The 13,768-nt window shown below is 37.8% G+C and overlaps 1 protein-coding gene across 3 annotated transcripts in view, besides 1 other annotated feature; it reads left to right on the forward strand.

Annotated features, from left to right (window-relative positions):
• Window positions 1-13,768, forward strand: part of ACTR3 (actin related protein 3) — a 72,663-nt gene that overhangs the window by 3,322 nt on the left and 55,573 nt on the right. The gene's annotated exons all lie outside the window — the stretch shown is intronic.
• Window positions 8,863-8,952: a silencer, noted in NCBI's record as "silent region_11890". NCBI's record gives its function as "represses an Ori minimal core promoter by ATAC-STARR-seq in GM12878 lymphoblastoid cells {active_cell/tissue: GM12878}" and the evidence as "EXISTENCE:reporter gene assay evidence [ECO:0000049][PMID:35858748]".

The following is a 13,768-nucleotide window of genomic DNA, read 5'->3' on the forward strand; positions in this document are numbered from 1 at the left end:
CGTTTTTTAAATGTGTTTTTTGCTTTTTGTTTTTTTGTTTGTTTGTTTGTTTGTTTTGAGATGGAGTCTTGCCCTGTCGCTGGGCTGGAGTGCAGTGGCACGATCTCGGCTCACTGCAACCTCCACCTCCCAGGTTCAAGCTATTCTCCTGCCTCAGCCTCCCGAGTAGCTGGGACTACAGGCACATGCCACCACACCCAGTTAATTTTTCTCTTTTTAGTAGAGATGGGGTTTCACCATGTTGACCAGGATGGTCTCCATCTCCTGACCTCGTGATCCACCCGCCTCAACCTCCCAAAGTGCTGGGATTACAGGTGTGAGCCACCGCGCCCAGCCTTAAAGGTTTTTTTTAAATGCATGTTTTTACTCAAGTTTCTCCATCATTCAAGCCAAATGAGGGCGCTCCTTATTAACTCCTTGTTATATCGTAGCTTGGTTACAGAGCTGCATTGTGAATTTCCTTTTCCCTTTTATGTCTTTTTTTTTCCCCTGGTAAATAAAATATTGGTAAATTAGTTCCACTGATTATGATAGCAGAGGTTAATATAGCCCTATGGTCAAAGTCTTGGATATATTCATATCTGGAGCAGATTAAGGAATTTTGCTAACTGACTTCAACTTCTTAGCAATCTTAAAATGTAAGCTTAAATATCTTGTAGGTGTCAGTGAAAGAGGAGTATGTTCATCTTGTGGCCACAATTCAGCAATTAGTGCAGATAAGAATGATCTTGTTTGAAGAGCAGTGGGGAAAAGCTGGGTAAATGAAGGAAGGTATATGTGGGAAGTTCATGTTTCTTCCATGAATTCTGTGCGTATTGTTTAATAATAATGCTGTTTCTTTTTTTTTTTTTGAGATGGAGTTTTGCTCTCATCGCCCAGGCTGGAGTGCAGTGGCATGATCTTGGCTCACTGCAACCTCCTTCTGCCTCCTGGGTTCAGGTGATTTTCTGCCTCAGCCTCCCAAGTAGCTGGGATTATAGGCGCCCACTACCACGCCCAGCTAAATTTTGTATTTTTAGTAGAGACAGAGTTTCACCATGTTGGCCAGGCTGTTGTTGAACTCCTGACCTCAGGTGATCCACCCACCTCATCCTCCCAGAGTGCTGGGATTACAGACATGAGCCACTGCACCGGCTTAATAATGCTATTTCTTTAGCCATCTCCAAAGGCAGAAATATTCACAATAGCTTCTTAACCAAAAAGCACTCATTGAAATTCTTATTCCTTGATGAGTCATGCTTTGCATGCTGTTTGAAGTAAGTACAACAGACATGCTCCTAGTGAGAAGTCAGACTCTTACTTAGACTTAGCGAAAGACTCTCCCTCCTTTCCTGCCTGCCAATTTTGTGTTGAAATATTGACTTTGGATTGCAAATACTATATTGCGGTGAACGAACTTTCAGGCTTATTGTAAAACACAGTTCAGAATTTTAGGCACAGAACGGAAAGGTCCTGTGGAGGACCTGCTGGCCATGCTTTCTGTGACAGCTATTTTTTAACCTAATTTTATAAGTGAAAAAACAGAATGAGAGAATTTAAATTACCTTTTTGATGCCGTCTACCTGGCAGGTGGTTCGATCTGCTATTTGGACCTGAGTTCTGTATTTAAGTCCTGTGTTCTTTCTGTTAACACTCCGGGGACTCCTGACTGCCTTTTCAGAACTTTATGTGTTGCTTCATTGTTGTTAGTAAAGTTAACTGTATTTCTGTTTAAAGAACTCTTACAAAAAAAAATCTCAGCCTTATGAATTTGATTCACCTAATTAGAGAAAACCCTCTGTGTAATCTTTACTTGGTTTAGGTTCCCCCCCCCCACCCCCCTGCCGATATGTGAATGCCTAGACTATTTCCTTGTTACTTTGCTTAAATTTAATCTCTAGAAAAAAATTACTCTCTAGGTTGTGTTTCTCAGGAAATAATAATAGCTAGCATTTATCGAGAATTGTATGTCAGCCCCTGTGCTAAATGCTTTATATTATCTCATTAACTTTCACAACAACCTGGAAAGTATTATCTTTGTTTTATAGGCTAGAAAATTTAGTCTTAAGAGAGGTTAAGCTACTTACCCAAGATACTGTAGCAAGTAAGTATGGCAGAGCCACTACACTAGATCTTCCTTCCGTAGAAGATGAACGTTTGACATGGCTTGGTGCATAGTAGGAATTCAAATCTTTGTTGTATGAATGAATGAACAAGAATTAGGAGTATGGTTTTTAAAAAAACTGTGCATCAGAAACACCCCATACCCAGTGACTCAGAATCTCAAGGGTTGGACTATGAATATTCATTTACATAGGCTTCCTAGATGATTCTTCAGCAGCCCATTCAAGGGCTAACTTTGCAGAAATTCTGAAACCTGGTATTGGCGGTGGAGTTGGAGCAGAAGAGATAAGTTAGGAAAAGATTGGTTTTTTCCTTTCTTTTTACGTTTCTTCTGGCAGTTATATTTCGTGTTATTTTATTTACGGGTAGCAAAGGCTTTGTAGTTATCTGTTGTTGAGTTCAAGCTCTATCACTTAATAGCTATATGACTTTATACACTTCAACCTCTGCAGGTCTTATTTCTTCCCATCTGTAATTTGGAGATGATAGTGTATACCTTATAGGTTTTTTTTGTTTGTTTTTGAGACTGGGTCTCTGTTGCCCAAACTGGAGTTCAATGGCAAGATCATGGCTCACTGCATCCTCAAACTCCTATGTTCAAGCTGTCTTCCTGCCTCAGTCCCCCGAGTAGCTGGGACTACAGGCACATGCCACCATGTGTGGCTACTTTTAAAAATTTTTTGTAGAGATGGGGTCTCACTGTGTTGCCTCAGGCTGGTCTCAAACTTCTAGCACAAGTAATCCTCTTGCCCTGACCTCTTAAAGTGTTGAGATTACAGGAGTGAGCCACCATGCCCAGTTTTGTTTTGTTTTGTTCTGTTTTTTGATAATGTGTGAAAATGGTTCAGCACAGTGCCTGGCACACAGTAAGGGCACAATATATTTTAAATATAATAATTGGTTGGCTTTCTTTTTTTTTTGAGTTTCAGTTCTTAAAGAAAGGAATACAGTGTGTTATGCTTATTTTCTTATCTCCTGCAGGCCTTGGCCTGCCTACCACACACAGTTCTCTGCACAGTCAAAATGTTTTTGCTGATTTGAGAGATTGAAGGAGGTATAGCTAGGACTTGGCAGTTGATTCCAGTGGATTGTAAATAGGCATCAATGAATAGTTCAAGATTGTAAGCCTGAGTGATTGGGACAATAAGGGAGTTAGTTTTAAGAAACTGAGTAAAATTGGAATTTGTTGTTGAATTTGGAATGATGATTTATAATTGGAAACATTCTAGAGGAAATTAAAAATACAGGACCTTTGGGAATGAAGGTGGATATTTGGGAATCATAATTTGTTAACTGAAGCTAATAAGATGAGAGCATTCAGAGAGAAAAGAACGGAAAGATTGAATATCAGTTTCCCTTCTTTAAAAAAATTGTGGATATGTGATCTAGCTTCTTGAGCATCACAGTGACTGATTGGCTCGTGGTAATTGATCGCTATGCTGACAATCTTATCTCCACCTATGTCATTCAATTTTCTAAGAGGCAAAATCCTTAATCAGGAGGAGAGTTTAGCTCTAGCTAAATTTCCCTTGTCCAGCATGCTCCTGCTCCCCCAACTTGTGGAAACAGCTAAAGGATTGGACTAGGAGCAGAAGTTTGGAATGGTTAAAATGTAGCAACATGTGTTTCCTGAAACAAAATTCCACTATAATAAAAAAAGCATTTGAATGCTCCCTTGTAATTCTGTTGGAGCTTGTTGCCTTTTTTATGACACAACCATAATCAGTGATAGACAGTAGCATAAAGAAGCAAGAGCAAAGCAATTAAGTAATAATAGCACTACAAAAATGTGTGCTGTAGCTTACCAAACACGACATTTATGAATTATTAGATAGGAGATAAGGTGATGTTATTGGATTGTTTTAAATTTAGTTCTTTGAAATAGGATAGTGACTAATATTAGTTTGTGTGCTGATTTTATAACTTTATATGGGCCTTTATATCAGGAAACAACGTAACCTACATAATTGACTAATACCAGAGCAAAAAAAAGAAAAAAAATTCTAGTTTTTTTAAAGGACGATTTTGCAGAATTTTAATAATAATTTTGTTTCAGAATTTTCAAAATTCTTTCCAAACTGTCGATTTAAACTCAAGCCATTCTTACATACTCCTTGGAACCAGGAAAGGAATAGCTTGAATTTGTGTGGCCAGATGTTATTTTTTTTTTTTTTTTTTTTTTTTTTGAGGCAGAGTGTTGCTCTGTCACCCAGGCTAGAGTGCAGTGGCGTGATCTTGGCTTGCTGAAACCTCCGTCTCCAGGGTTCAAGCTATTCTTCTGCCTCAGCCTCCCGAGTAGCTGGAATTATAGGCACCCGCCACGATGCCTGGCTAATTTTTGTGTTTTTAGTAGAGACCGGGTTTCACCATATTGGCCAGGCTGATATTGAACTCCTGAACTCAAGTGATCCACCCGTCTCGGCCAGATGTATTCTTTCAGCTTTCCTTCTGCTCCCCAACCCTAATACATACCTGAGAAGAATATTCATCTGTTCGGATACTCAACATGCCATGTTTTCCTCCTGCCGAAGGACATTACCTAAACGTTTTATTTTTAAACATTTTGTCCTTGCTTTAAGACTTTGTGTCATTTGTGAAAATGCAATGCTCTTGGGAAGGGTTTCTGTGCTTTTCAGTATTTAGTGTAAAGGAGAGGTTACAATGAGGAGGATAAAAGTCCTAGAGAGAGAATTAGGGTGCAGAAGACCTTGTAGTTTAGGGTTGGCTTAATCTACTGTAAACATGTAAACCATGTTTTTAGTATTAGTGTATGACAGGACACAAGTGTTTGCCTAGTTATAGAGATTATTTTAGTTAAATCTAGTGTGCTTCTGCTATAAGCATTTTTAAAATTCAGTTACTCAAGGGTACAAATATAGCATTTAATGTGTATTTGTGAAACTTGCTTTAGTAAATTAAGGGAAATGCCTAATGACTCACACAGAATTATAGAGCTGAAAAGGGATTTTGAGAGATAATTTAATCCAGTCTTCATTTACAAATGAAACAGAGGCTCAGAGTTGAGAAATGTCTTTTGGGAGTGTTCCTAATTATTAATTGATAGTATTGTTGAGTTCTCTTAAATTTTCTTGTGAGTTCACATTTATGAGTTAATAGTTGAAATTAAGTAATTGGAATAACATAATGTATTTTATTTATAGTTAAAGTAGTTTTAGTTGAAGCCTACATCAGAATTCTTCAGTGTTTCGTTGTAATGCAGAGGCATACTGTATGGCACACATGAGAAACTAATTTTATGTTTCCCAATAATAATGTTTTAAACCAAGTTTAGAGATATTTTAAAAGTTGTGCTCTGTAGGTGCCAGGACAGATGACTTTCATAAAATGAATGCTCTCTTTAAAAAAATTTTTCTTTATGGTTTCAGAGATTTATATCTTTGGATTTTAATTATTAAAGATGTATTAAATGGGATGTGTACCAATCAGCCATTTCAAGGCCCTTTGCACGTTTTGTTTTGGATGTTATTACCTTTTCAGAAGCCCTGTGAGGTAGTTACTGTTATAAATAATCCCATTTCAAAGATAAGTAGTAGATTTAGAATTTTAGTCCTGGGGTAGTCTCATTCCAGAGCTCACTGCTCTACTGTTCCCTAATTGAGATACATCCAAGGAGAGTGGTCAAATTATTAGTCCAGTTTTTAAGAGTGTCCATTTTATACATACTTAAACCCAAAGCTACTAATTTTTAGTACAAATATGAAACATATAGGGAGGTCTTAGTGACCAGTTCACTGATTTGATTAACCTATAACACATTAAAGTGAAATATGGATTTGCTTACTGCTTATTTGAGTATTGCAAGGACTGATAATTGCTGATAAATTCAGGGCAGCTCAAGGAAATGATGCTAATTACATATATCTTCAAAAGGAAGGCATACATATTTCTGAAGCTGCAATTTGAAAATGAATAATCTCCACTGATGCATTACTTACTGTAATTATTTTACTCACTATGTATTATGTGCTCATTAATGACTGCACAAAACACATATGAAAGTAAAAAAATAGAAGAACTTAAAGTAATCAAGTATTTATTTCAGTCTCAGTTCTGTGCTGAACACTATGGTATATACAAGAAAACTAAGGCATGATTTTATACTTGAGGTTTACAGTTTAGTTTCAAAGATGAAACTAATATGTGTGAAATAATTATGGATGGCTTACTAGCATTTAATTGTTTGGGCAGATTAATAAGGGCTGTAGTATTTGGAGGATGATTTATGAAGAAGCTGAACTTGATCAGATCCTTGGAAAAGCATAAATAGGATGTGATAGATATATGGGAAGAAGGACTTCAAATCTAGGATGTGAGCTAAATTGAAAGCTCCATAGTGGCAGGGATTATTTCTTTTTTGTGCATTCTCTATTCAAGTGATAGCGTCCTGCATGATATTTAATAATGCCCAGCAAATATTTTACTGATAAAGGGAAGTCATGAAGGAGTTTCAAAGTATTTGGGGGATGGGTCAGTTAGGAAATTGCCCTGCCTGGAATTCAGATATTTCTGTTGGGAGCTGTGGGACAGCAAGTAGTTTATTTACTCATCTTGCCTTATTTCAGAAGGATTTTAAATGGGGCAGAATGGTTTGCGATTTATTTGATAGACAGTAGTGGATTGTGTAGATCATTAAGCAAAAGAGTGATAAAAGGTAAATTTATGCACTATTAGTCTGGGTCTAGTATTTTACTTTATACAGCTTTATTGAGTTATAATTCACATACTGTAAAGTTTACTCTTTTAAAGTGTGTAATTGAGTAGTTTTTAGTATAGTCACAAGGTTGTGCAACTATTTCCAGTCAATTTCATTTTTTTTTAATGCCTGGATGCCACTTATTGGAATCCAATCAATTTTAGAACATTTTCATGACCCCAAAAAACCCTACACCCAGTAGCAGTCACTCTCCGTTACCTCTACCCTCAACCCTTAGCAAACACTAATTTACTTTCTGTCTTTATGGATTTGCCTATTTTGGCCATTTCATGTAAATGGAATCATACAATTTGTGGCTTTTTGTGACTGATTTCTTTCATGGGGCAAGTGCTGACTGCTGTAGTCGTTGTCTTCAGTGGTGATGGACGTATAGCAAAGGGACTGGGAAAACGTTGAGAATCTTTGAAAGCAAAATTAAAGGAATGGGTAGAGGGATAAAGGAAGGCCTATGGATAAAGGAAAATCATCTTGGGAAGGAAATGTTTACCAAATACTTAGTGAGTTTTATTCACTGTTAGGTCCTTTAATCCTTATGACAACCTCATGAATTTAGTTTTATTCCCGATGCATTAGGGATAGTCTATGATCACAGGATCACAGGCTAGTAAATGGTGGAACAAGCATTCAGTCATGTCTTCTTTATTTCAAGGTTCATGTTCTCCCCACTAGTGAAAAGGAGTTAAGATTTTAAGGTTTAGGCTTGAAGGGACCAGGAGAATGTTTCTGTTGACACACAGAGTAGGCGTCCAGGTTCTTCACTCAACAGTCCATCAGTATTTTTGTGTCAGGTTAAACATTGACTTGCATGTCATGAGAAAAATGTTGGAGGGAATTGGAAAAGTTTTTTAAACCATTGCTGTTTATCTTTATAGCTAATATTGTCTTACTCTACTTGACAAATTTCCCTGTGAATCAGCCACTGCATTCTTGTTTTAAAAGTTTCTGGCTGGGCACGGTGGCTCATGCCTGTAATCCCAGCACTTTGGGAGGCCGAGGCCGCAGATCACCTGAGGTCGGGAGTTTGAGACCAGCCTGACCAACACGGAGAAACCCCATCTCTACTAAAAACACAAAATTAGCTGGGCGTGGTGGCGTGTGCCTGTAATCCCAGCTACTTGGGAGGCTGAGGCAGGAGAATTGCTTGAATCCAGCTACTCGGGAGGCTGAGTCAGGAGAATCGCTTGAACCTGGGAGGCAGAGGTTGTGGTGGGCCAAGATCGCGCTGTCGCACTTCAGCCTGGGCAATAAGAGCGAAACTCTGTTTCAGCAACAACAAAGTTTCTAACACCAAATTACCTTTTTGGGCTTTGGTATTGTATGACGAAAACTGGGTAAGCTGAGAATTAAGATATTATGGGAGTAGGCATTGGGATCAATTAGTAAACTCTGTTTTCATTTGGGATTTATTTGGTAATCATATCTTACATAAAATTATATAAGATGTACTTTATTTTTATGATATGGTAAGAGTATAAGCAAGTCATTCATATTAAGATAGAATTATTTGAACTTTAGTGGTTGTCAGTGTTAAGGTTTTGGAAAGAGTTGTGCTAGATCATTAAAGTCTCTTCTATCCTTAAGCTCTGGGGTCTTATATTTATTTTGTTATATCATTTCATTTGTTGAACTATTGAAAGTTAAAACTTGTTCCGTATGTAGAGGCACAGGCAGAGTAGATTTAGCATCATTCTTAAGGGCCCTATAATTTTCAGAATTGTAATGGAACATTGGCTTCAAAGTCACCACTATATTAGCCCCTAGCAAGAGAGTGTAATTGTACATGTTTTAATGTACAAGCATTTGCAATTTGTAAAATTAAAAATAATATCCAAGGCAAAGGATGTTAATGCTTTTACAATGCAGGCATAAGTTGTTTTACTACTGAAAAAGATTCTATTAATGGATTTCTTTTAGGTAGGTACAATCAATAATATAACAGATACCTGCATTTGTTAGAATTATGACCCGTGAACATTTAATTATACTTACTTTATCTTTCTTGTTTTAAGGAACAAAAGAGCATTATTGATGACTGTCCCCAAATCCACTTCCCCTTTCCTCAGAGGCAGTTACTGTTGTGACAGACTCGCCTTTTTTTTGGTATAAAACTCATCTTTCTTTTGCTGTTGATTTCTGCCAGTCCAGCCTCCTCTCTCACCTAGCCTTCTTATATTTCTACTATTATTCTTCTAGTCACCAAGGCTTTGATAGCTTCAAAAGTGCTTTTGAATTCTTTTCTCTATATTCCTTTCTCTAAGCAAGTTGTTTTTCTTTTTTTTTTTATGTAAAATGATGTATTATATATTTTATACAAGCAAATTGAGTACAGCTAAACCTCAGCTACAGGATTTTAGAGTACAATAGCAAGTTGTTTTTTAAGTCCCTTACCATCTCCCTTTCGCAGCCAAAATCAGCATTGTAGATTTTTTTCATTACTGCCATAGTAAGAGCTTTTCTATATATTTAACTTGTTTCTCTAGATCACAAAGAGACATTTTTGGTTTAGTTTTTTTTTTTCTTTTTGGAGACAGAGTCTCGCTCTGTCACTCAGGCTGGAGTGCAGTGACGTGATCTTGGCTCCCTGCAACCTCTTTCTCCCGGGTTCAAGTGATTCTCCTGCCTCAGCCTCCTGAGTAGCTGAAATTACAGGTGCCCGTCACCACGCCTGGCTAGTTTTTGTATTTTTAGTAGAGATGGGGTTTCGCCGTGTTGGCCAGGGTGGCCTCAAACTCCTGACCTCAGGTGATCGCCCGCCTGGGCCTCCCAAAGTGCTGGGATTACAGGGATGAGCCACTGCTTCTGGCCACAACATGGTGTTTTGATATAAGTAAACCTTGTGTCATGAGTCTTACAATCAAGCTAATTAATGTATTTGTTACCTGACATAGTTACCTTTTTTGTGTGATGACACTTAAGATCGCCTTTAGGCAAATTTCAACTGTAAAATACTGTATGTTATTAACTGTGGTTACTATGCTATAGCTTAGATCACTAGTACTTATTCATCTTATAACTGGAAACTTGTATACATTGATCAACAGCTCTCCAATTCCTCCATTTCCCAATACCTGGCAACTGCCGTGCTACTTATTTATCAGGTTCTATTTTAGATCCCCATATATGAGTACATTGTTTTCCTTATCTTTGATTTTCAGTGGTTTGTGCCTAAGTGTGGTTTTCTTTATATTTATTCTGCTTGGGTGTTCTTGAGCCTCTTAAATCTCTAAATTTCTGTCTTTCACTAAATTGGGAAAATTTTTAGCTACTATTCCTTTTTATTTGTTTGTTTCTGAGACTGAGTCTTGCTCTGTTGCCCAGGCTGGAGTGCAGTGGCGCAGCCTTGGCCCACTGCAACCTCTGTCTCCCAGGTTCAGCAATTCTTGTGCCTCAGCTTCCTGAGTAGCTGGGATTACAGGCTTACACCACCATGCTCTGCTAATTGTCTTTTTTTTTTTTTTTTTGAGACGGAGTCTCGCTCCGTTGCTGGGCTAGAGTGCAGTAGCGCGATCTCGGCTCACTGAAACCTCTGCCTCCTGGGTTAAAGCAATTCTCCTGCCTCAGCCTCCCATAATTTATTTTTAGTAGAGATGGAGTCTCGCCGTGTGGGCCATGCTGGTCTTGAACTCCTGGCCTCAAGTGATCTACCCACTTCGGCCTCCCTAAGTGCTGGGATTACAGGCGTGAGCCACCCCGTCTGGCCTGTCACTATTTCTTTTTAAAAATATTTTTACTACACTCTCTTCTCCTTCTGGGACCTAAGTGTGTCACTTTTTTTTTTTTTGAGACAGAGTCTTACTCTGTTGCCAAGGCTGGAGTGCAGTGGTTTGATCTCAGCTCACTGCAAGTTCTGCCTCCTGGGTTCATGCCATTCTCCCGCCTCAGCCTCCTGAGTAGCTGGGACCACAGGTGCCTGGCACTGCGCCCGGCTAATTTTATTATTGTGTTTTTAGTAGAGACGGGGTTTCTCCTTGTTAGCCAGGATGGTCTCGATCTCCTGACCTCGTGATCCGCCCACCTCGGCCTCCCAGAGTGCTGGGATTACAGGTGTGAGCCACTGCACCTGGCCACGTGTATCACCTTTTTGATATTGTCCTTGATGAGTCCCTGAAGCTCTTTCCTTTTTCCTTGTTTTCTTTCCCCCCAATTTCAGAATGAATAATTTCTACTGCTTGGCCTTTATTTTCATTTATCTGGTGATATTTCCTTTATTATCAATTACAGGTCTATGTTAATACTCATTGTTGATTGGAAGTCTTTATCTTATAATTCCAGCATTTGGGTCATGTTAGAATTGCCTTCTGTTGAGTGTCTTCTCCCAGGAGAATGGGTTATGTTTTCCTGGTTCTTCCTATGTGAAGTAATTTTGGTTTGTATGAATATAACACTCTTGTTTATTCGTTCTCTTGTTAAACATTTGTTTTTCTTCCAGTTTTGGGTCTTTATGAACTATTCTGTTGTGAACATACATGTACACAATTGTGTGGACAACTGTTTTTATTTTTCTTGTTTCTAGTAGATTCTAACTAGAGGTAGAATTCCTGGGTCAGATGGTAAGTGATAGTTAAATTGTTTTCGTAAGTGGCTGCATCATTTTGCATTCTAACTAGTAATGTTTTTTATTTTGTTGTTGTTGTTATACAACCCTCCCTCCAACTAGTAATGTTTGAAAGCACCTCAGTGCACTTTTAATTTGCATTTTAAAAATCCCATGGAGTTGAGTCTCTTTTCATTTAATAACCATTTCTGTTGTTCTGGGAATGGTTAGTGTCTTTTTGCCTTTCCTTCTTTTGTTTCCTCCCTTCCTGTCCTTCCCTCCCTTGTCATTAACATCTAGGTACCCTTTATATGTTAAAGAGATTATATCTGTCTAGATAATTTGTGTAGATAATTTTTCTCTGTTACTCATTTTTCTTTTGGCTACTTTGGGTGTGTTTTTGTAAAGAAGTTTTTAATTTTTACATAGTTGAAATAACCTTTTATAGTGTATGGGTTTTAAGTTATAGTTAGAAAGTCTCCTGCACTCCAGGGTTATAAACTATATCACATTTTCTTTTAAACTTTATATTTGATACATTTAGATTTATCCTGCTTTAACATGTGCGGTAGGTATCCAGTATTATTTTCTTGGTGGTAACTGCTGAGGCTGGCAGGTCACGAGGTCAGGAGTTCAAGGCCAGCCTGGCCAACATGGTGAAACCCTGTCTCTACTAAAAATACAAAAATTAGCTGGGCATGGTGGTGGATGCCTGTAGTCTTAGCTACTTGGGAGGCTGAGGCAGGAGAATCGCTTGAACCCAGGAGGCAGAGGTTGCAGTGAGCCGAGATGGCGCCACGGGACTCCAGCCTAGGCGACAGAACAAGACTCCGTCTCAAAAAAAAAAAAAAATTTTTTTTTTGTGGTATAATACTCATAAAGTTTACTGTTTAACTATTTCTAAGTGTGCAGTTTAGTGGCATAAAGTACATTCACATTATTGTCTAACCATCACCATCCTCCATGATCCATAACTTTTTTATCTTCCCAAACTGAAACTCTGCGCATTAAGCAGTAACTTCCCGTTCTCTCCTCACATGCGAAGTCCCAGGCAAATACCATTCCACTTTCTGTCTTTATGAATTTGACTTTTCTAGGTACCTTCTATAAGTGGAATTGTACAATAGTTGTCCTTTTGTGATTGGTTTATTTTACTTATAATGTATTCAAGGTTCATCCATGTTGTAAGCATGTATCATGTGTTTCCTTTTTGAGGCTGAATAATATTCCATTGGAAGTATATATCATATTTTGTTTATCCATTCACATGTTGATGGATGCTTGGGTTGCTTCCACCTTTTAGCTATTGCAGATATTGCTGCTATGAACATGCATGTATAAGTACCTGTTCAAGTTCCTGCTTTCAGTTCTTTTGGGTATATACCCAGAAGTGGAATTGTTGGGTCGTGTAATTACTGTATTTAATTTTTGGAGGAACTATTTTATAGTTTTCCACAGCATTGCACCATTTTAAACTCTCACCAGCATTGCACAAGGGTTTCAGTTTCTTTACATCTTCCCCAACATTTGTTATTTTCTTGATAATAGCCATCCTAATGGGTGTAATGGGGTATTTCATTCTGGTTTTGATTTGCATTTTCTTTATTATTAGTAAGGTTGAACATCTTTTCTTGTGTTTATTGGCCATTTGTATATTTTCTTTGGAGAAATGTCATTACAGGTTGATTGCTGATTTTTCAGTTGGGCTTTTTTTGATTGTTGTGTTGTTCTTTATTCTGGATATTAATCCCTTACAGATAGTGATTTGCAAATATTTTCTCCCATTCTGTGGATTGCCTTTCCACTGTTGATAGTGTCCTTTGATACACAAGTTTTTAATTTTGATGAAGTTTTTCTCTTTTTTTCTTTTGTTACTTGTGCTTTTGGTGTCATAGCCAAGAGATCATAGCCAAATTTAGTATCATGAAGCTTTTCACCTTATGTTTTTTTTCTAAGAGTTCTATAGTTTTAGCTCTTGTGTTTAGGTCTGTGATCAACTTTGAGTTAACTTTTGTGTATGGTGTAAGGTAAAGGTACAACTTCATTCTTTTGCATGTGGATATCCAGTTTTCCAGCACCATTTGTTCAAAAGACTGTCCTTTCTTCATCTTAGTAGTTATGGCATCCTTGTTAAAAATCATTTAATTATATATGTGAGAGTTTATTTCTGGGCTCCTGATTCTGTTAGTTCTTATGCCAGTACCATACTGTTTTGGTCACTATAGCTTTGTAGTAACTTTTAAAATGAGGAAGTGTGAGATCTCCAACTTTGTTCTTTTTCAGGATTATTTTGGCTATTCAGGATCCTTTGAGATCCATATGAATGTTAGGATGGATTTTTCTATTTCTGCAAAAATGTTATTAGGATTTTGATGGGAAATGCTTGAATCTGTGGA

Source organism: Homo sapiens, chromosome 2 (genome assembly GCF_000001405.40).
Source record: "Homo sapiens chromosome 2, GRCh38.p14 Primary Assembly".
Taxonomy (NCBI): domain Eukaryota; kingdom Metazoa; phylum Chordata; class Mammalia; order Primates; family Hominidae; genus Homo; species Homo sapiens.